We start from the raw sequence: 23,987 nt of genomic DNA on the forward strand, positions 1-23,987 counted from the left end.
AGCCGAGCAGTGATTACCCTGTTTTATAGATGTTATTCAGGTAGAGTGATGTGTCCAAGGTCACATCAAGGTTAGTTACAAAACAGAGATTAGAATGGACCTTCTGACTCAGTTTACTGCCTAGATTACCAAACAGTCTTCTACAATATTTTATCATAGTCAGTGATACCATTTTGTTTCATTGTCTATTACTACCTAAAGAAGATAAATTACAACCTAACTCTCTAGTATTTCTTCAGACTAATGTGACCAGAAAACTTACTTTGGGGAAGTGGGAGGTGAGAGTGAGCATATACTTTGATGATTTAATCCCAATGAAGGAGCATGCATTTACCTATAAATAAACAATACAATGCTAATCATTTTTTGTCTTTTAGCCAGAACAGGCAAAGGAGTAGCACTGGGTGAATGTAAATGAAAGAAGCTAACAGGAGAGGTTCAGGGCTAAAACAGTAGATTTGTCGTGTGGTCTTAGTGTGCACTATTGCATCCAATAAGGAATTCTTCTATACTTTCTGTTACAGATGCTGAAATTTTCTTCTAAGGAGAAATATCCCTTATTTACTTTTGTAAATGGTCATTCCAGAGACTATGATTTTACATCTACTACAACCAATGAAGAAGACCTTTTTTCAGAGGATGAAAAGAAACAATTAAAAAGATTTAGCACGGAAGAGTTTGTCTTGCTTTAAAGATTAGCACATTTGTGCTTGATAAGAAGAATTCCATTGAAAGGGGAAAAATGAAGAGAAACAAGTATATCTGAAATGTTTATTTTCACAAATATCTTAATTTTATATGTTCTTTAAAAAAGAACATTTGAAAATATAACAGTTAAAGATATTTTTCTAAAAGAGAAATGATTTAATGAATCTTGCTTTCTAATAAATAAATTGAGTGATTCTGGTTGCATTCCTATTTCCCTAAGATCTACTAGTGATAATTCTACCTTAACTGTAAGCCTTTTAGTCTTCAAAGTCTTCCACCTGAGCCCATTGTTCTCATGGAGGTTTTGTGATATTAACCCTCCCCCAAAGACTGGGATCACCAAATAGTTTCAAAATTCTCAGTTTGTACTGAAGACCAGAAGATCAGAGAAGGAAACTTTAATGCTGTCTAGCCTCCTGCTATTAATGCAATCAAAGAATACTTTTGCATATGTCTTGATAATTAAATAGTATTTGTTAACTGTGATATGCATACACTTATATAAGCAGAATTATGAGTTAAAGTAATACTTAGCAATATGATTTTATAATGGCTCCTCATTATGCTTGCTGTTGAACCTTTTATGAGGAGTGAATATAAAGTATTGGTTTTCCCTCACAAATTTAAAGATTATGTTATTAATACTATTATAACTGCATCAATCAAGTCAGATAAAGGCAACTATAAAATAGTAGTAGTGTTTGTTTCCTATCTCAAGGGCGAAATTTTATGGGAACTCAATTTATTATGCAGTTTTTAAGTTTAAAATACCAAGAAAGATGTCACTAGATTCTCTTCTATGTGATTTTTGTTTTTTATATAAAGCAGTGTAGTGGTGTTTAGAAGCTGAGGCCACCTGTAAGGCAAATCTGCCTTAAGTGTATTATGTGTTACTTAAAGGCAAATTTGTGATCTAAAAGTACAAGAGTGATTTTTGAGCTAGGATTATAAAATACATAATAAAGATGTGAGAAGATAAAATGCTTTTGTTTTGGTTTTAATGTTGGGATTATTTTAATCCTTTCATTTGAAAAATCAGTGTCTCAAATGAATTCTGTTCATTTATAATAAATGCATATATTGCTCTGAAAACAATATTAATTTTTTTAAGTGGAGCTTTCATGTTTCAGTGTAGAAACGTGACTTATAAAGACATAAAATTGTGTATCATCTAAAGTCATTGATCTCTTCCATCAGAAAACCTGTTTGTTTAGAGTTGCATGTAAAGCTGAAAGAGAGGGTGGGCGGATTGTTTTAGTATACCTGATGAGAAAAATCAGGTTTGACATTTCTCAGTGAAGATTACTTACTGAGTTGAAATAAATAGTCTGAAATCTAAAAGTTTTCTTTAGTCTAAATACAGTCAGCACAAATTTAAGTCCAATACTAATTTTCCTAGAATGTCAAAGCAATATAGGAACAAGAAGCCAGTGGTATACCAGATTTTATACACTGCAGTTGTCTGATCTAAGCTATTGCAATTTACTGTTCCTATATAGCTGCTGTATTCACAGGATTCTATGGTAAACACATCCAATGAGAGCACCCATACCTTCAAGTGGGTCTGAACCAGTTGTAAATGTTCTTACAAGAACTAATATAAAAGCTTAAGAGTTACAGAATAGCAGTGTTATTTCTTCAACATATTTAGGGATCATTTTTAGGTAGATTATTGGAATGAGACAAGGTTACACCTGGACAAAGTTAATGTGAGAGGAGGCAAAAATTTCCTTTACATTGAATTGTATGGAAAACACTTAGTATATTTTACAGACAAATCTTACAGTACAGTCATCCTCATGACTGGGAATAAATGTTTGGAATCAGAAATTGTTTTACGTAATAAGGCACATAAAAGTATTGACTAATATGTGTAAGTGAATGAATGCATGCATGATAATTGAGAGGGGGTCAATTTATTTTGCCTAGTAATTCACCTTCAGTCAACGACCAGCCAAAAGTTATGCTAATCTTTTATTTGGAAGGCACCAACAAAAGTATATCATTAGATTTAGAACAAACGTACTGTACATCCTGGTTTCAGACTTTGTTGTGAACACAGATTTCATTTCAAGTTCTGACAGCTAGTAAACTCAGTCAATAAAGCTTATGGATGATCTTTTTCAGCCTGGAATAAAGGAAAGTCAAAAAGGACAAGATTCTAAGATGAGTGTTCTGCTAGAACTATGATAGGAGAATCCTCCATTTGCACATTAATATTAAGATACTGGATTTTACCATTAACATTTCAGAAATGAATTTTTAAAATTCTTGATGTGACTTTCTGATGGTGAGGTTTTCTTTTCTCTTTTCTTCATAAGATTTGACACTTTGAATCCCTTTTTGTCAATGTGTTAACCACCAGCAGGCAATCTTAAGGGTCATAATTTGCTGAATGAGTGAAGGAAAAGATCCTTTACAGTGTAAGTATATCCAGAAAATTTCCTTGAGGTATTCATATTTCTGTTTTTACATTAAACCAACCTCATTAAATCTGTATTAGTGAGAAGACAACTTTAGAGGATTAAAAATTTAGGTTGCTTTTGTGTTCTATGATCATTAAGATTTAACATTGTCCAAGGGCAAACATATCTAAATATATATGTTAATTCCATCTTGTTTTTAGAAGATTAACAGCAAAAATGACTTAGCTATATAATCTATCTAATTTTAGGCAAGAATCTCTATTTTTTAGAGACCTCTAGTTCCCTTCCATTATTCAATACTAGAAAGCACTTTATTCTGTTTATTTTATTTTTTATTATACTGTAAGTTCTGGGGTACATGTGCACAACGTGCAGATTTGTTACATATGTATACATGTGCCATGTTGGTGTGCTGCACCCGTTAACTCGTCATTTATATTAGGTATATCTCCTAATGCTATCCCTCCTCCTTCCGCCCACCCCAAGACAGGCCCCTCTTTTTTTCTTTAATTTTTACTAGGAAGTTTCATTTTCATGGTTTATCACAGATCACCTTTAATAGCTTGCATTTGACATTGTCTTTTTGACTATATGTTCCTAAATAATCATGAAAAACTATAAAGGATTTTCTAAAATCAAGAAACAAGGAAGGACAGATAATGACAGAACAACTTGAAAATATGAAATCACTACATGAATTGTTACTTAAACAGAAATGGGTAGGAAACTGAGAATTTAAAATCATGGTGAAATAGAAGCAAGATATTCAGAATATATGATAGAGGCAATTCTTGGAAAGGATAAGGGATTATTTTCTATAAAAAAAGGAGAGTAAATGTCTTCCCCAAAAAAACTCTAGGCGAGTAAATATTTATCATGTGACATTTATTATACCCTCAGTATTGTCAGTCAACCACCATTCAATATTGCTATTTCTCTGAGCCTTTATACTGAGTACTCAGATACAGAACTGAAAAGGTGAAACATCAGGCCAGGAGAATTGGAAACATCCTATTGATTATAAAATATAAATTTTATATCATTTCATATTTTGAATCTTAAGTCAGTTTTAAAATCTTAAGCATTTTTGTGTGGCTTTCATGGTTATTTAAAGACTTTTTCCTTGACTATAAACTTTGAAAAATATTATATTTAGAGTTGGTATTGCAGACACATTTTTGAGTTAGCATTTTCCTCTCTTTTTTACAGTCCTTCTTGACGTTATTGGTGGCAAGCAATGGCCCAAAACATTCACAACTACAGTTATAAAATTTCACTTATTCTCTCACAGTGATAAGAAAAATATGCTAAATGTGGAGAATACATGTTATTAGAAGGGAAGATTACTCTTTCTGTGCTACCCTCTCTCCAACCAGTTCTTCCAGAAATGTAGAAACTCAGTCTTCCAAAATTGTCATCCAAGAGTGAATGATAAGAAAATATTCTACTCAGAATTGTCTTTCATTTAAATTATTTAAAAATTATTTATAAATATGATACATATATTTATAAGTATTATAAATAAATATACTAATATTCATTAATAAAATAGAGAAGTCAAGGGTTTTATAAAAAGTTGTTTTATAAGCAGGAAAGGTAAACAAAAGAAAGTTGAAATCCAATAGAAGTTATAACAAAAGGATAAGAGAATGATTAACAGCAAGTTTTGAGTGTATCTAGGCAAATACACCATAGCAAACTGACACAGATAAAAATACATTAATTAAAAAGTATTGTGGGCTGGGATGATTTAAAATTAAATGTAGGCAGTAGAAGAATGTAAATACTGATAAGGGCCAGTGGATATGGGGCTACCATGTTGCAGAACTCCACGGGACACTAATTTTTAGTATATGTTACATGAATGGTACTCCCTGGAATTGTGCAATGTAGCATTTGAGTTCCTAATATTTACATACTACTTGCTATTTATGCTGCACTGTTCAGTTTAGTTCATTTGTATTAAAATATAGCTAATGAATCTAAGATGGGGAATTAGATCTGGGATTGACGGAACAATTAATATGAGTTCTGGGACTTAGATGATCACATAATGGAACAGGTAAGGAGAGTCCATGGTCAACTGTCTGGTTATTTAAATTATTTCTAAAATACTTTAAATATATATCATTTGGAAAGGATCAACCTATACTTACATGATACTTCAACATATTACTTTCATTTTTCTATACTCCCTTCTACTTTAGGTTCGTATTCTCATTACTCTTTAAGCGTGTTCAATAGGTTGAATTTTGATTCCTATTTCTTTATTCTATTGATGAAGAGGGCCACCACTTATTCTGTCTTTTGTATTTGGATCTATATACTGACTGTTTTATGCCTCTGACCTGCATGTTGGTCTTTCCCGTGACTTGTGGTTGGCTCCTAGACCTGACCTGGGCTTGGCCAGTCTTATGGCCACTAGCACATGTCTATACCTACAGAGACATTCTTGGTTTTGTATGTAATATGTTCCCACAAACACTTGAGACAGTTGAATATGAAGGAACTGAACAATAGATATTTTTAAACAGTGTTTTAAGGAAGGTTCTTATGCAGAGAGTTAAAAATATAAAAATATTTAAAACCAAATTATTTTTAATCATATAGGCTTTTACATGGTCTTAATGATACACTTTTGGTATCTCACAGATCTTTCTTTTTTGTTCTTTTGTATTAGAACATTCAATTGACTGACTTAAAGTTGACTTATAGTAGAATATACAGTTGACTGAGCATTTCATTGAGGCTAATGATTATTTCTATCTTTATATTAAATTTATGAGATCTACATTTCTTAGCACTAGTTTTAGCACTGTGATTTTTCTGTTTTCCTGCAAAATAAGAGGGAATGAAATATAAAATCCAACAGTTATCTAATCTGCTATACAAAGATTGTGATATTAGCTGGCAGGCAGCATCAACTCAGAGCTCAAAGTGCATCTTCGTCAGATGATGTTTAAAAGTCCAAATTCCATAATGTTTAAGGTGGCTCAGGGGCGTCAGATGATATACGTCTAATGTCTACATAGTTCTGTTTTCTGTCTTTTTGTTATAGCCATTCTACTGTGTGTGTGAAGTAGTATCTTGGGGTTTTCTTTTTTAAATAATAGCTTTATTGAGATGTAATTTACACATTAGACACTTCAACCTTTTAAAGTAAAATAACTTTAAAAACCACAATTTAGTGGTTTTTAATATAGTCATAGTTGTGTAATGATTGCCATTACCAAATTCCTGAGTATTTTAATTACCCTAAAAAGAAGCCCTGTACCCACTCTCACTTCCCATTCTTCACCCCTTTTTTCTTCCGTCCCCAGCCCTAGCAACCACTAATCTTTCTGCCTGTATGGATTTGCCTAATCTGGACATTTCATCTAAATGGAATCATACACTATATGGCCTTTTGTGTCTGACTCCTTTAACTTGCCATAATTTTTTTCAAGTTTCTTCCATGTTATTGCATGTATTTGTTAGCACCTCATTACTTTTTTTTATGACAGTAATATTCTATTAGATGGGTATACCACATTTTCCTTATTCATCAATTGATGGACATTGCGATTTTTTTCTACTTTTTAGCTACTATGAATAATGCTGTTCAGAACATTTGTGTACATGATTTTGTGTGGGTGTATATTTTCATTTCTACTGGATATTTGCCTAGGAGTAGAGTTGCTGATCATGTTTATAACTATGTTTAACTATTTGAGGAATTCCTAAACTGTTTTCCAAAGTGGTTCACCATTACACAATCCTAGCAGCAATGTATGAGGGTTCTGGCTTTTCTACTTTCTCACTAACCCTTGTTATTGTCTAGCTTTTAAATTTTAGCCAGCAGAGTATGTGTGAATGGTACCTTATTTTGGTTTTGATTTTCATTTTCCTAGTGACTAATAATGTTTATCTTTCCATATGCTTGTTGACCACTTTTATGTCTTCTTTGGAAAAATGTATATTTAAAATCTTTGCTCATTTTAAATTTAGGTTATTTGTGTTTATATTATTGAGTTATAAGTGTTCTTTGCATATTTGGGATACAAGTACTTCATCAGATATATGATTTACAAGCATTTTCTCTTGTTCTGTAGGTTGTCTTTTTATCTTTTTTTTTTTTTTTTTGAGGCAGAGTCTCGCTCTGTCGCCCAGGCTAGAGTGCAGTGGCACGATCTCAGCTCACTGTGACCCCCACCTCCCGGGTTCAAGTGATTCTTGTGCCTCAGCCTCCCAAGTACCTGGGATTACAGGCTTGCACCACCATGTTGGCTAATTTTTATATTTTTTATTAGAGATGGGGTTTTGCCATGTTGGTCAGGATGGTCTTGAACTCCTGGCCTCAAGTTATCTGTCTGCCTCGGCCTCTCAAAGTGCTGGGATTACAGATGTGGGCAACCGTGCCCAGCCATCTTTTTACTTTGTTGATGGTATCCTATGAACTACTGAAAGTTTTAATTTTGATAAAGTCTAATTTATGTTTTTTTAATTTCTTGTGCATTTGGTGTTATATCTGAGAAACCATTGATTGATTCAAGGTCCTAAAGGGGTCTATACCTATACTTTCTCCTAAGAGTTTTATAGTTTTAGCTGTTACATTTAGGGTTTTTTTTTTTTTTTTTTTTTAAAGAGACAGTCTCACTCTGTCGCTGGAGTGCAGGCTGGAGTGCAGTGGTGTGATCTTGGCTCACTGCAACCTCTGCCTCCCAGGATCAACCGATTCTCCTGCCTCAGCCTCCTGAGTAGCTGGGATTACAGGCATGCGCCACCACACCCAGCTAATTTTTGTATTTTTAGTAGAGATGGGGATTCACCATGTTGGTCAGGCTGGTCTTGAACTCCTGACCTTATGATCCACCCGCCTCGGCCTCCCAAAGTGCTGGGATTACAGGCGTGAGCCACCATGCTTGGCCTAGGTTTTTTTTTTGTTTTTTGTTTTAAATCCATTTTGAGTTGATTTTTGTATATGGTGTGAGGTAGGTGTTTATTCTTTTGCATGTAATGTCCAGTTGTCCAAGCACCATTTGTTGAAAAGACTACTCTTTTCAACAAATGAATAGTGTTGTCGCCCTTGTTGAAAGTCAACTGACTGTAAATATAAGGGTTTATTTGTAGACTCTCAAATCTATTCCATTTATCTAGCCTCATGCCAGTTTGATACTGTCTTGATTACCTTGGCTTTGTAATAAATTCTGCAATTGGGAGGTGTAAGTCCTTCAGCTCTGTTCTTCTTTTTCAACATTGCATGGCAATTTCTGGAAAATGTTTTCTCATTTCTTTCAGTCTTCATTTATTTATTCTTTTTTTTTTTTTTTTTTGAGATGGAGTTTTGCCCTATCGCCCAGGCTGGAGTGCAGTGGCGTGATCTCAGCTCACTGTAACCTCTGCCCCTTGGGCTCAAGCTATTTTCTCGCCTCAGCCTCCCACGTAGCTGGGATTACAGGTGTGCACTACCATACCCAGCTAATTTTTGTATTTTTAGTAGAGACGGGGTTTCACCATGTTGGCCAGGCTGGTCTTGAACTCCTGACCTCAAGTGATCCACCTGTCTCGGCCTGCCAAAGTGGTGGGATTACAGACATGAGCCACTGCGCCCAGCCCAGTCTTTATTTTTAAAACATAAATCTTTATTTTTATTATTGAAATTTTACATAGTAGAAAATTGGCCCAAAATGCTGAAGATACATGTTTAGAAAGTAAAACATGCAAAATACAGTTCTTAGAACTATGATCATGTTGTATAAGAACAAATCAATTATAGTAGATTACATTATACCATTGCATCATCCAGAACAAGTGCTTCAAAAGTAAGGCTTTACATATTCACCCAGTACTACTAGTTTGGAAAAAAATACGAATCTTTATATTTTGGGGAAAACAGATGCTTAATTTTTTGGTCAAACTCCAGTGTTATACATTTGAGAAGACATAATGAACTGGTTAAACTGTAGAGTCAGACTGGCTCAGCTCAAATTGTGACTTTAGCACTTACCAGCAATATGGCCTTGAGCAAGTACTTAACATCTATAAAATGGGGATAACAGTCACTGTCGTAGTATAGTAGCAGCAGAAGGCTGTTGTAAGGATTAAGGGAGGAAACATGTGAAACACTTATTAGAAAAGTGCCTGGCACACAGTAAGTACTCAATAAGTGTTAGCCTTTAAAAGTGTTGTAAAGATTTTATTCATGCCAGTCTCAAGATTTGAAAAGACTTTAAAATTCCTTTTTTTTTTTTGAACTGGCATTGGAATGCAAGAATTAGGAAAAATAAAACAAAAACCTCTTAATTCTATGCTAATATTGAATGTCCATGAAGCACTACAGAATACATTGAGATTTTTTAAAAAGTGACACTTCTGTCAGGGAGCTTAGAATTAAGGATGGGGAAAATACACAAAAAACTCATCCATGATCGAGAAAGAGAATGTTTATAATAGAAGTTATACAAAGTAAAAGGTTATTTGGTTTCAAAAGAAGACAGCTCACATATGGTTATGGGGATTAGGCAAGTCTTCCCGGAGGAGGTGGCATTTTGGATGAATTCTAAAAGTCTTGATTTGATTTATATACAGGCAGTGATAAGGTAAGTATCTGAACTAATAAGAAACAACACAAAGACTGAGAGCCAGGGTCCAGGGTCCTGCTTTCTAAACAGAAGTGGGTTTGGGGCAGGGGCCATCCCCACGGGGCACAGTTGAGGTGCATGTGGCTGGTTTTGGTTGTACTGGCTAGGGAGCACTGCTAGTAGGTAGTAAGGGGTGATGCTAAACATTCTGCAGGTGACTGAGGGCTGTGATGGCCAGGCTGAAACGTATAATTAGGTGGATGCCTAGAAGAGAAACAGGAAGAAGAATGCTATGAAGGGGGAAAAAAAGGGTGTAGACATCAGAAGAGCAGGGTTTTGGTTTTAACACTTTAAAATATGAAAATTTAAAATTGGAATGTGATTCCTCAAGCCCTATTCTTAGATTCTGTTTTACCTAGATATAATTCTATACATTCTATGCATATACTTAGTGAATTTATGCATATACTCAGTGAATTTAGATGGGGCAGAGAGAGTAGGTCATTTAATGCTGGGGTTCTTAACCTGATGAACCCATGAATAGAATTTAGGGGTTCATGAGCTTGGGTTGGAAAAACATTTACATCTTTATTTTTACCAACATCTACCTGAAATATAGTATTTCCTTTCAATAAGAATACAGACAACAAAATATAGCAGTGTTAGCAGTAGCTAGAACATTACTACTAATAGAAATTATAGATATTTTTTATATTACAGCTAATATAGATACCTTGAAGTATTTACACTGCTTTGAAATTTTGGTAGGTTTTGCTACTAGGATTTTTAAATGTGTTGATAGAGAAGCAAATACATTACTATAGTTACAAATTTTTAAAAATGTATAATTGGCCGGGCGCGGTGGCTCGTGCCTGTAATCCTAGCACTTTGGGAGGCCGAGACGGGCGGATCACGAGGTCAGGAGATCGAGACCATCTTGGCTAACACGGTGAAACCCCGTTTCTACTAAAAATACAAAAAATTAGCCGGGCGTGTTGGCGGGCGCCTGTAGTCCCAGCTACTTGGGAGGCTGAGGCAGGAGAATGGCATGAACCCGGGAGGCGGAGCTTGCAGTGAGCCGAGATCGCGCCACTGCACTCCAGCCTGGGCGACAGAGCGAGACTCCGTCTCAAAAAAAAAAAAAAAAAAAAAAAAAAGTATAATTTATAGTAAATTATAATTTATAGTAAAATTTTAAAATTTTTATTCATGTGCATTTTAATTTACATTTTAAAACATTTTTCTGAGAAGGAGACACTAGGCTTTACCAGACTTCCAAATGATGTAAAGTGATGAAGTTTGGGAAATAGAATGGTAGAATCTTGTGAGAATGATTGGAAAAACAATTTCAGGCCGAAATTTGGAGTTGGAGCATGTTGAGTGAAATAGATGGTGTAAGCATCTGCAGAAGAGAGTGTGAAGTGATAACAGAGTCATCTGGAAGTGGGAATGCAAAGCTACCTGAATCAGAGGGATTTAAATGGAAGGAGGAGTGTCCTTGCTGGTTAAGTTTAGGAGAGAATTAGTACTGCCAGGAAAATGAAAGTTTGAGTTAATGTTAAGAGATAGAGGATTAATGATTGCCAATGGCAACAACTGACATTGGGTGCTTACTAAATATAAAATACATATTATTTAATCTTTGCAAAAATCCTGGGAAGTAGATATTTTTATCCTTGCCATTTTACAGATGAAGAAATTGAGGGTCTGATATGTTAATTTGCCAAATTATCGCAGTTGGCAATCTGCAGATCTGAGATTTAAACCTCTCCTGATTCCAAAGCCTGCTCTAGTTTTTCCTACATCATATTGAATTAGATGTTCCAAAAGACCAAGAGGAAGAGGCTAGAGAAAATGGCATGTGAGGACCGAGCTGGATGGGGATGAAAGCAGGGAGACTGTGGAAGGGAAGTCTTTGACCTGGTTTTGGAAAGAATTTTGGAAAACGGGTTAAAGACACAGGCAGTCTGGGTGGTAGGCCGGAGGGGGTGAGGAGATGAGGTGGCATTTGACGAAAATTTGCTTATATTTTAGTGGCATTGAGAATCAAGTCCCCATTGTTTCAGAAACTGTTACACAGATGGTAAATTTATGTAAGATGCTCCTTTTCTCTCTTCCCTTGGCATAGTACTCCTGCCCACCCTGAGGTGGGGAAACTGCTCTTAGTAGTAGCCTTATGAGGTGACATTTTGAGCCTTCTCTCCTTTGCCTGGCCTTCAGACCCCAATTTTCTAGAGACTGCAATTGAGAAAGACCTTTTGTTACTGTACAATAGGGGGAAAACTCCCAGTGGTATAAAACAGACTGAGGACTTTGCAAAATATAGCAAGTTCATGTCTGCTAATATGTTAAGTTATTTGGCCTCTCTAGTTTAAGTAGTGATTTGTTGTTTTCATGCTAATACAAATTCTTGTATTAATAGGAGCATGGCCCTGGGTTTCTTCATCCGTCTGGGAAAAAATTACTTGTTTGATGGTAAACAAAGAATAGAAGAATTGGTTCACTGTCCTCATTTTAAAAAAAGATGGTATGAAGCAATAGTGGAATAATTTTAATTGTAACCATCTAACACTTGCCATCAGTAAGATCATTTGTGTTCTGATTTTAGGAAATGGAGTATTAAAGAGTACATAGTGCATTAGAAATGCAAAACATGACCACATGTTCTCAGGATTTTGTCAGTGTTACATGAAAGAGCACTTGTATTGGGATGCTCGGCTCTGAGGGTATTCTCTGTTCAGTGTGTATTTACAGAGATGTATGAATATTTGATTAATGAGTCATGGTCTCCGGAGAAATTTAATAACTGTATTGCTGTACAAAGCCAGGCCCTTAACTGTTAACACAGCTGCCAATAGTGTCATTGACATTGCGGCCCTTTCTGAATCTAATATATTCTGTGGAGTAAATTCCTTGGTTAAAAAGGGATCTGTGAGAGACATTCAGTTATCTGTTTTGAACTTCATTTAATTTACAGGCTCTGATTTGTAAAGATTTTTCCAGTGAAAACAAGCAGTGATAGGGAAACTTAAAAATGACCTTTTTAAAAATGATTATTTTTCCCAGAAATAAGTTGGAAAATCATTGATAAATAAAAAGGAGTTGGTTATCCTCTTCAAGATTATCTTTTGGGGATTCAGTAATCATTTTTGTCTTGCTTGTCATCTAAGAAATATCCACAAGCAGTAGAAATCTAAGATATATTTGTGATTTGGATATGTAGATCTCATATGTATTAGAATGTCCTAATCTAAATTCATTATTAAACATAATTTAATGCTTTTTCAGCAATAATTGAAGGCTAATTTATCCTTTCTTCATTCTTTTTGTTTTTAATATCTATGGAGAAATCAATTCTAACTTTCAAAGTTAGATAGGTATTTTAGTAATGTTACTTCGGTTTAACTGCTTGAGTAACAGGGAGAAATGTCAAAAAAAAGATAAATTCAGTGCAGGAGCTTTCGCTAGAAGCTGTAACTGCAGGTTAGAATTATCCATGCTATGCAGAATTTCCTGCAACACTTCTCCTTAGGGCCACAATGCATTACAGCAGACGTATAATGAAGCTGCTATAAAATCTCTGGTAATTAAGGGGGATTTGACAGTAATTGCAACAGTGAATCAACTTAATTATTACCTGCTTCAAAGAGAGCTAACCTGATGTTATAATCTAACCTTTTCTACTTTTAAAATGGGAGATTAAACAAGTATATGTAGCATTTAAGAATTAAATCTGTTGAGATAGAATTGTATTAATATACTTCTAATATATACTTTATGCACATGTACACATCAGCTTCTCAAGAACCAGCACCCAGCTCTCTGTGATCCATTAAAGTTATTTGGTATGCTCTGGAAATTAAACCAAAGGCACATCTCTTATTCAAGTTAGCTTCTCCCTCAGCCACAAACAGACCTTGGTTGTGGTTAACTTGACTTCCACAAAATAAAAAATATTTTCTTAATATTAGCACATAAAGCAAAGAAACACCAAAGTTATTATCATTGCTTACATTAGGTAGACCATCTCTTAGAATCTTAAAATCTCATCAAAAGTGCAAGTAAAGCTAGGTGTGGTGGCATATGCCTATAATCCCAGATACTTGGAAAGCTGAGGCAGGAGGATTGCTTGAGCCCAAGAGTCTGAGAATGTAATGAGCTACGATCACACCACTGCATTCCAGCCTGGGTGACAGAGTGAGACCCTGTCTCTAACTGATATGAAGATAAAGATTTAGAATTACTGAGAGCTCTTATCTAACTTGGTATATCCGACTCGGCACAAGGATCGAGATACCTGTTTCAGCCTAAGTTATGTCAAGGGTAACACTTTTTATAAATGTTCTCCTCTCACTTCCTATTGCCTGCTATCTTCCCACAAGAATGGGAGTGGAGAGAGAGAAAAGTAGTGTGGTTTTGATATGAATTTATGTCATATACCATGTATTACCAGGTACCTACTAAATGTAATCAATACCAGTTTCTGTATTTATGGTTTGGCTTCCTCTCTGGCAGATTTCCCCAGCTCTCTTTTCTGCTTTTAAGCCTTTATCATACATACTTGTGTCTTTGTTGGCTTTAGCTTTACTACTACTTTCAATGGCAAAAACCGCAATTACTTTTGCACCAACCTAATGGCTCTCTTAACTCTCTAATTATAGCAAGATTGGTCCACAGTAGTTTTGTTTTGGAATTGAATCTTTTGGTTTGGTTTTGTGTGTGCATATGTAGCGATCCAATGAAGTGACTTGTTTCACAGGAGGTGATTGATTAGGCATAGGTTTGGTACAGTTTGGGGATAGAACAATCTCATCCTCAAGCAATGTTTTCCACACTAAGAGTATGTTCAGATGAACGTGAACCAGAATTGAGTCTTCATCTGGGGCAGCAATAGGTTAGCTGCTTAGGACACTTGGGCAGGCTTTGATCATTGATCTAATAAGATTTTGTCTTCTGGTGTATTGCAAATTCAGCCTGGAATCCCTGAAGGAAGATTGAGAGCACAAGTTATATACCTTGTTCTCTAATGTTTTCTTGCCACTAATCAAACTCTTTCTTAATATAGGAGGCAAATAAGCACAGTCAACAATTGACTAATGAATAGGGAAATTAAACAATGTGAATTATAATTTTGATTTGCTCACTGGACTGATCTGGGGCAAATTGTCTAGAACCTCTTTCTGTTTTATTCTTATGCTAGACTGAATTACAACTACTCCACAGGGATCTCCTAAAATCTGTTTCCTTTTTTTTCTGTCAGAAAATTTTCATGAAGCAGGTCACCAAAGTAGTGTCCTTAACAAGTTAACACAACTTCCAAAGGTGCCAGTTTTATGGTCAAGGATTCTCCTATTCCATGCAAGCCATGGTTGTCTTTAATTCATGCTCATAACTTATAATTTACCAGGGATCAGTTACCTATGTAATAGTTATACCTGACTTTTTGTCTTTTGGATGGTTCATTCCTTGTTAGCAGTGAGCAGAGAAAGTTGAAAGGTATGAAGCTCAAACCAAATGATTTTTACTTGATAATCAATGTAACAAGGCTATGGGAAGAAGATGGAGCACTTACTATTCTAGGCACTTTATATGCATTATCTCATTTTCATACCAGGAACAAATCTGTGCTTTATAGAGAAGAAACTTGAGACTTAGATTAAGAAAATTGCCCAAAGATATCTAGGTTATAAATGATACATTCAGGATTCAACCCTAGATCTGATTCCATAAGTGGTTGAAACTACTAAATTTTGGATTTGTTTGTGGAATTAATTAATTAAAGGAGCAACCATATTGCTCCTTTCTGAGATATCACAGGTGAAAATGTACAGGAGAATATATACAGGTTTTCACTGAAGACCTCCCTGAAATACAATGTATTTTTAATGTCAGCATTTTCAATGCCAGACATACTTAAGAACCAATAAGTTTTGAAGCTTTTACCTTCCAGGTTAATGCTCCCTTTCAGTTCTTCTCAGGTCTTTTCCACAAGCAAAACATGTACTGACTTCTTATGAACTTTGTGAAGAATGGGTATCTATTTAGAGACCTACATGGTAAAGACAAATTGTCATACTTCTTTGTTCTTATAAAATGATGGAGTAAAAAAAAAGTTAGGATTATGTTTTCTGAGAGAAAGTTAATTATACAACCATCTCAGTTATTCAGGGACAGAATATTAGATGAAGGATATATTCATTCCTGCCTTGGGCAATAGAAATGGATTTTTTCAGTTGGCACTAAGGTGGTCACAATAAGGGATTAAGAGAGAGTTGGGATCACCTCAAAAAATGACCTGTCTTTGAAAGATGGCAGAGTTTTAAGGAATTTTAAAGATTATCTAGTCCATTGGCTTTTTATAGATGAGTCCCAAAAAGATAAAATTACTTGCCCAAGTTACACAGCTACCTATGACAGAGGTGTTTTAGAATCTAGCTTATTTTAGCTGAGAGAAAATTTATCTCAAAGAGTTTATGTTTGGCAACTTTAATATAAATAGCAGAACATCTACTGACATCTTTTTAAAAATCAAATCATATTTAAGTAAACTGGGTTCCGTTGATTTCCAGACTACAGTCCTGAAAAGGGATGGAATTCTTATTACAGAAACTGACTTTCCTTTGTTGTCCAATTAGAGCATTGACGTAGATTTGGAATACTGAGTGAAGTTAAAAAGAAAATTGTAAATTAATAGCAGTGGGAATCAGTCTGAGCATCTTTTCAACAATATTTCTACCCCTGCCTTCAACTTATATCTTGGCTTTTTGTTTTATTGTTATTGGGTCACTTCTCCAAGAAGCATAGGAAACTAGGTGATTGCCAGTTGTAACTTGAAAAGGAGGGTAGGATCTGAAAAGAAAAGGAATGGAAATTTTTATTATGAAATCTCTATTTCAGTTATCTATTGCTGTGTAATAAATTATTGTCTTAACCTAATAAGGACATGTTATTCTTAATGATTTTGTGGTTGATTGTGCTCAGCCGTGAGGTTCTTCTGCTCCACATGGTGAAGCTGCAGTTACTCATCCAGTTGCTTTCAACTGAGAGTTCACCTGGAGTTTAAACATCCAGGATGGTCTCTCATCTTTCAAGACTACTCTCCAAGTGACCTCTCATCATTTGACAGTCTAACCCAAATTTTTCTACAGCATGACAGCTGGCTCTGAAAAACACAAATGCAATAGCTTCCAGGACTTGTTAAGACTTGGGCTGGGATCTGGCACAGTGGCACTTCTGCTACATTCTCCTGAGCAAAACAAACCCAGTTCAGAGTCAGGGGTAGGGGAAATAGATTCCATTTGTTGATGGGAGAAATGGTAAATAATTTTTTTGGCCATCTTTACCACCATCCCAAATTTTTAGGATCTCAGCTTTCATTTATCAACCAATCATATATCTGAACTTTCTTAACATTTAAATATCCCACATCAAATATTTAACAAATGCCAGTATTTCCCTTAGTCCAAGCAATAACCCATTTCTTTCCTCAGTTCCCCCCAAAACAAAGAAATTCACAGACATACATGACTTCGGAAAACAGTAATATTATGCCTTCATGAAATCCTCAATTTCAGAGATGACAAGAAGATTTCTAATTATCTGTCTTGGAGCTGAGGTAGATTTTCTAGCGCTTTCTACTTCTTAAGGGTGTAAAAACAGCCTCAAGTCCTAGGAAATTTAAATTCTGGAATAAAAAGAAGTATGAACATGTGAGAGTGAGCCAGAGAGAGAATTTTGGCCGGAAATTTAGATGAATAATTTGGTCCAGCAAGAAGACCCTATCCATTTTCCCTTTGGCTGCTTAGTTCTAATTTCTCTAATAGAGTCTGAATTTAGTGAATCATCTTCTCTGACCAGGTACCCCTCTGCCAGAACAACAGAAAGTGCCAAACTGCCTCAGCCATGATGGTCAATTTGACATGGAAATATTGTAAAAATAGCAATGAGGGGATCAGCTTTGCTTCTGCATAACTTTATTTTTTATATAATTATGCAGGATCTATACACAGGCACCCATGTCTGCTTTTCTGCTGCAAATGTAGTCATTACGGAACTAGCTAGGCCCACTTACTGAAGCATTTAGACAATGGTGGGTATGGGTGTTATGGAGAGGATTACACTGTAAAGACAGCAATATGATTTCGAATCCCCTTTTCCCTGAAGGCACCAGCAGAATCACCAAGAGGCAGCCTATTCCCCCTCAAATGATATATAGCAGTTTATCATGTCAAACTACGTCACAGAGGGTTAAGGCTATACGGCTTCTGGCTGTCAGAACCAGGATTTCATCTAGGGGCCCCTCAGGCCATATGGAGGAAGCCTCAAAAGTTCATTCTGCTTTTTCCATTGTCTGGCATCTTGTTTCCATTCCCATGCCAGTGTCCTCTTTTGACCAACCTTATAGCCCAAATCCAAATCATGGGTGCAACATAAGCTTTCATAAGATTTTCCTTCTATTCATTAAGAGAAGCCTCTCCATTGTGTCCAAATAAACTTAGTAAATACAAATATGAGAGGATACATTTTTATTTTAATTTATAAATTTTAATATACCTCTACATACTTAGGGAACTGTCTTTTAACCTTTGGAACAATTCTGTGGAAATAATTTGAAATTATTTCTGCTGACTAGAGACAATCTACAGAGACAGGATCATGAGAGGAAAAATATACATATGTAATTCTTTTGTGAAGCTACAATATTAAGATTCTGCTCACGACTCCTATTAGAGTTCATCACGACCTATTTCAGCTTTTGCACACCGTAATTGTTTCATTGTGAAAATCTTTTGTGTCTATTTTCTGAATTGCTATGTTGTCTATAAATATTTAGTGATAATTCATGATTGGGTTGTATTTACCCCTGTAGTTATGTATTACAAATGAAACGACAGCATCTGCTGAAATTAAAAGTGGCCACATTTTCACTGGAGCTTAATTAAATGCCAAAATTTATCTACATTAACAACAAAGTAGTGAAATTTATTGATCAATTCACATGATATAAGTTGACAAATGGCTTAAGCAATTTCCATAATTTTCTACACGTGTTAAAATTTGTAATGAAAAAGAACACTATATTAACATTAAATGAGAGCTGAAAGGGAGGTTTTGTACTGGGGCCAGTGCCCTGGAGCAGTGTACTTTGTTTCCCGGGCCCTGTCCAGGCTTGCTGTTTGAGCTGTGTACAGATGGGTCTCTGACAGTCCTACAGCTGTTCTCCTAATTGTCCATTAAGTGTTCTATTGATTCTCTGATTCAAAGTTCATGTCTTTCAGCTCAAGCTATCGTGTGAAGTGGCAGACACATTCCTTGTAGAATGACAGAGCTGCTTGAAACCTAAAAATGCAGTCTGCCAGTTTCAATTGAGGATCCTGCTTTCAAAGGAGAAGGCTTGGTTAAAGGCGCTTTGTAATAGCTGGTTAGGTTATATTTTCTAAACTTTTAGCATCAATCAATTAAGGCAGCAGCAGCATGAAGAATTTTAATTCCTGGATAAGCATGTACAGATTGCACCTGGCTGATACAGGACAGGACGAGGGGATCAGGATTGGTAAGAGAAGATCAGACTCGTTTAGCTGTATGCAGATTTTTTCCCTTCTGCATCCGACATGCGCAAAGTCATTTTCATTTGACTTGCAAGTTCACTTTTTGCATTTTTTAAAAAATTGAGATCATCTGCAATTCTAGATTATGCCAGTCAGAAGCCTGTTTAAAATCATCACTCTTTAATCTGGAAAGTGAAAGATAAGATGCATATCTGTTGCGAGGACCATAAATCTTCAGAGAAACAAATAACCATAGATAAAACTGTAAAAGTTATTTAGTACTCCATTGGAAGATGTTTATTAATCTAAAATTTCCAGTCCATTGTGTCGTGATTTGGTTAGCACTCTGTATCTCATTTTGTGCAATTGTACCCCAAGCAAAGATCTGATCTCTTCAGAGTTTGAACTTTATCAGTTGTGTAGTTCAGTTTTGGTCTAGGTTCAAGAAATAAAGCAAAAGCTGCTATCCAAAAAACAATCCACAACTATGGTTTGGGTTGCCCCCAATAGTATGTACTTTCTTTTCTTAATGAAATGACACATCCTAATGCTTTTACCATCTAGATTTAGCTCCTAATTACTCTGTAATATAATATTTCTATAGAAAACAGTCTTATTATCTAGTAATCTTTCATCTATAAATGAAATGAACAAATAATGTTAGTTGTCTCTTGTGTATCATTAACTTAATTAGGAGCCACCCCAATGGACTTAATCACAGTTGAGGTTCTCTGGTATGATTTTAGCTTACATAAGTTTATAGATTCATCGAGATTTTCAAAGGGAAAAAGACTATCAAACACATATTTAAATCGGTTTTATGTATTAAATATACATATTTCAATGCATAAACATGAGAAATATCTATTAAGGAAAATCACTTTAAGGGAAAAATTAATTAAAAACTGCTCTGTTTCCCACAATTAGCTGTACATTTTTTTTTTAATGTCACCTTTGTATCTTTGCACAATAGCTTCTTTGGAAGTATACTCTTCTCTCATTATTGTTGGGTAAAGGAGCATGGTCACTAAACTGGTGTTCCTTTTGTCAAAAAGCAAATGATTTGTATCCTGATGTTCTGTCTGAAGCGTGGCTCTTTTTACTCTGGCCCTCCCATCTATAAGCCTCCATGCTGTAGCATCCTAAGTAGGAAGTGAGTTGCCTGCTGTAAGAGTTGATGAAACAGGGAGACAATATATGTACTTTTAATTTGTTTTTAGTGTGATGTATTTAGGATTTGGAAGCATCAGGAATTATATAACTTATTTGCTTTTAAAATATTTGTTGTGATATTACAGTATATGTGAATGAATGCAGTATGTGGTATGTATTACAGAATCCAATCTGAATTTAGGGATTTAAGTGTTTTCAGAATGTGGAAGCTTCAACCAAAATGTCTTCTTACCAAAGGATGATAAATCTTCCCTAGCTGCTTTTTCTTGGAAAACAAGTGAAAAATCTATTTCTAACATAGTAATATAGTATATATTGATACCTGCAAAACATTATGTGAATCTACTTAGATGCCAGCACTTTCAATTACAGTTAGCCAGTTTTTAAAAAAGATTTTTAGAAGCTTTCAACTGTAGACTTTTGTCTTGTTGAATGAACTTCAGCTACACTAAATTTTAAGTAAATTTGTGATGACTGAGCAATATACATTGGCTGAGCTAGAATCCAATAACCCACAGGACAAATTAATTTTCAACAAAAAGGGCAGAAACCTCAAGTGCCATGAGTATATGGAGTCTCATTCTATCTCTCTGGAGCCATTTTTGCAAATCACTACAGCTATTCATAATCTAAATCAGTCTCCTTTAGCAGCAGAAAGATCTTTTTTCATGACAAAACAGAAGATGACATTCATTAGTGCCTAACTTGCATAAGCTACCTTAAATTTATTGGTGCTCTTCTGCTTATCTGGGTAAGAATTCCTTTGTCTACAGCTATAGGAAAATTCCAGTTGTACTACTTAAAAATATAAATTGTCACTTTTATCAGAACTTTTGGCAGTTTACTTTATTTTAGAAGTAAAACTGGTGGTTAAGGTTTTAAGACTTCCAATGGGCGTTGTTTCAATCATATTTAATAGGTGCCTAGGATAGTAATAGGATTATGTATAAGCTTCTGTGCTGAAAAAAAATTCACATTTTTATCCATATACTGCTGGGGAGGTTTGTGGGGAATCAACCTTTGCAGTTGTGGATATGGCTATGTGCATTGTATTACCTGCCAGGCATGGACAGAGACTTAACATCACCCAGCTGGTTTGCTCATCATATTCAAGGACTATGCATGATTTTTAAAAGGAGGCAAGATACTTAGAAGAAATCATTTTGAAATGTCCCGTAAGCTGTAATAAACCTTTCTACCAGTGAGTGGGAAACTTAGTTTCTTATTATGTTCATAATCTTCTGATTAGACTCCTTCTTTTGTTGGTCAAATTTTCTTTCCAGTTTATAGGAACCAGCCTTGGATCTGTCTGGAAAAATTAAGTTGTTGCTGTATCAGTAGGACCATGCTTTTTGTTTTCTGTTCCCTTCCACCTCTACCATGCTGTTAAAAAAAAAGTGGAAAAACTGAGTGTACATACATTTTTCAGTGATGGTTTTGTTTGTCTTCTGACAATCAGATCCTTGGCCTGGTGGGACAGTGAGGAGTATTACCTAGCAAGAATTATTTTGGTAGGGTGAGATGGCAATGTGGTGCATCTCCATAGAGGAGGAGGAGGAAGAGAATGTGGGTATGAGCTTAATAGGACCTGACTTGGCTAGGGGTTGAAAAGAGCCTGAGGCAGCAATGAAGATCGATTTTCAGGGATTAAAACATAATTTCTGAGTATTTGGGGTGATGGTATTGTAAGATAGCCAAATCCTAAACAAATCTTTCACTAACACTTCTTTCTTCTGTGACTACATAGCATCTCTAACGTCTGAATTCACATTTCTATCTGTTCCTAGTCATCATTTATCATAGACGATGACATTGAGGCAAGCCTTGGATATGACCTGGAATGAAGGGAGAATTGAATAATACAAGTTGTGTGGCTCACTATTTGGAAGAAGTCTTGTGCTTTGAAAAAAATGTATTCTGTGTCCACAAGACAGACTTTTTCTGTAAACCTGACTGGTCCATGTTAAGGAATGCATTTGTACCCCTGGTGTCAGTCACTGTGATCTAACCATTTGAGCTAATTAGACTAGTCACATGTTGTTAAATATTCATCCAGAAAATCTCCACAAAAATGGAATTTTAAAGTCAATCAATGCCCTTTTTTCTGTCTTGGAAGATTAGATCAAGGAGCATGAACAGAAATAGAGCTCCAGCAAAATCATAGGTTAAAAGGAATATTCTAGGGTCTTCTTTGCCACAGAGTCAGCTTCCCATAAAAGGTCTCTCTCCTGTTTTCCCATATTCCAAGGCAAAATGTGCTCTAGATCTATACTTCCGGGGTTCAAATACCACGTCTGCCACTCTCTTGCTGTGTGACCTTGTGCAAGTTATTTAATCTGCCTGTGCTTCAATTTTTATTTCTGGGGAATTATAGTAATACCTATCATATAGGTATTGTTAGGGGTCTTGAACGAGTCAATATTGTTGGTGTCAACCTACTACTCTTGTGTCCATGTTGTTATATGCAATGATCAATTCATAGTTTTCTTTTTATTTGCCTCATTAGCACTATTCAAGACAGTTATCATTCTTCTTTCTTGAAACACTCTTCTCTTGGCTTGCAGGATGCCCTGCTGTCCTGGTTTTTCTCCTCTTTCAATGTTCCTTCTCAATTTCTCCTCATCTCTCCAATCTGTCAATGTTGGAGTGCCCTAGAGCTTAGTCCTTAGTCTTTTCTCTTTTGTTTTATACTCCTTGTTGATGTCCTCCAGGTTCATGACTTTAAATATCATCTATATGGCTGCTACTTCCAAACTGATAACTCCACCTTGGATCTCTCCCCTTAACTAACTGCTTGACATCTCCAGTTGGCCATCTGGTAGGCATCTCAGATTTAACACAATCAAAGCTAAAGCCCCATTTGCACCCTCCTGCCCCCAAAAGCTGCCTCTTTTACAGTCTTCTATCTCAATGAATGGCAAGGCTGTCCATTCAGTTGCTCAGGCCAGAAACCTTGGAGTCATCCTTGATTTCCCTCTCTCATTCTCACTCTTTGTGTCAATTCTATCAGCAATGGTCTTGCAGTGAAATTTGCCAGCACTGTCCCTCCCATCTAGAAGTCTCTATCTTCATTCTTTGCTTTACATTTCTTCATAGCACTTATCACCATCTGGAAATCTTTGTTTTATTTGTTTGCTTATTTATTGTGTTTCCCCCTACAAAATGTAAATGTCTAGAGAGCAGGGGTTTTTGTGTCTTTTGCTTACTGTTGAATCCTAGCATCTAGAACAGTGCCTATAACATCTTAGACCTCAATAAATATTTGTTGAATGAATGAACGAAGTGCTTAGCGTGGTTCCTAGTACATAATGAATGCCCAATAAATGCAAACCACTATTTTATCCCAATTATAAAGTTGCATTGTACATAATATAGGATAACTCCATGTAAAGAGGCTCCTTATGCATATTAATAATCCTATAATTCTATACAGTAAAACTCTTTTATTATTTTACTATAGCCTCAAAATATCCCTTTTGGATTACCCCAGTACTTCACCATGAATTGTATGTGTATATCCTCAATAAATGTTTGGTGAATAAATTAAGTGTCTCAGTTTTTGACTTGAGCAT

At 35.5% G+C, this 23,987-nt stretch overlaps 1 protein-coding gene across 2 annotated transcripts in view, besides 1 other annotated feature; it reads left to right on the forward strand.

Annotated features, from left to right (window-relative positions):
• ATG4C (autophagy related 4C cysteine peptidase) overlaps window positions 1-2,049 on the forward strand; it is an 81,385-nt gene extending 79,336 nt beyond the window's left edge. For both annotated transcript variants that reach the window (NM_032852.4, NM_178221.3), the window contains exon 11: window positions 525-2,049. In NM_032852.4, the coding sequence (NP_116241.2) occupies window positions 525-692 (168 nt within the window). In that variant the 3' untranslated portion in view covers window positions 693-2,049. The remainder of the gene's footprint in view (window positions 1-524) is intronic.
• Window positions 18,661-19,218: an enhancer, noted in NCBI's record as "NANOG hESC enhancer chr1:63347799-63348356 (GRCh37/hg19 assembly coordinates)". NCBI's record gives its function as "activates a minimal SCP1, AML or CMV promoter by ChIP-STARR-seq in naive H9 embryonic stem cells {active_cell/tissue: H9 hESC(naive)}" and the evidence as "EXISTENCE:reporter gene assay evidence [ECO:0000049][PMID:30033119]".

This window comes from Homo sapiens, chromosome 1 (assembly GCF_000001405.40).
Source record: "Homo sapiens chromosome 1, GRCh38.p14 Primary Assembly".
In the NCBI taxonomy this organism is placed as follows: domain Eukaryota; kingdom Metazoa; phylum Chordata; class Mammalia; order Primates; family Hominidae; genus Homo; species Homo sapiens.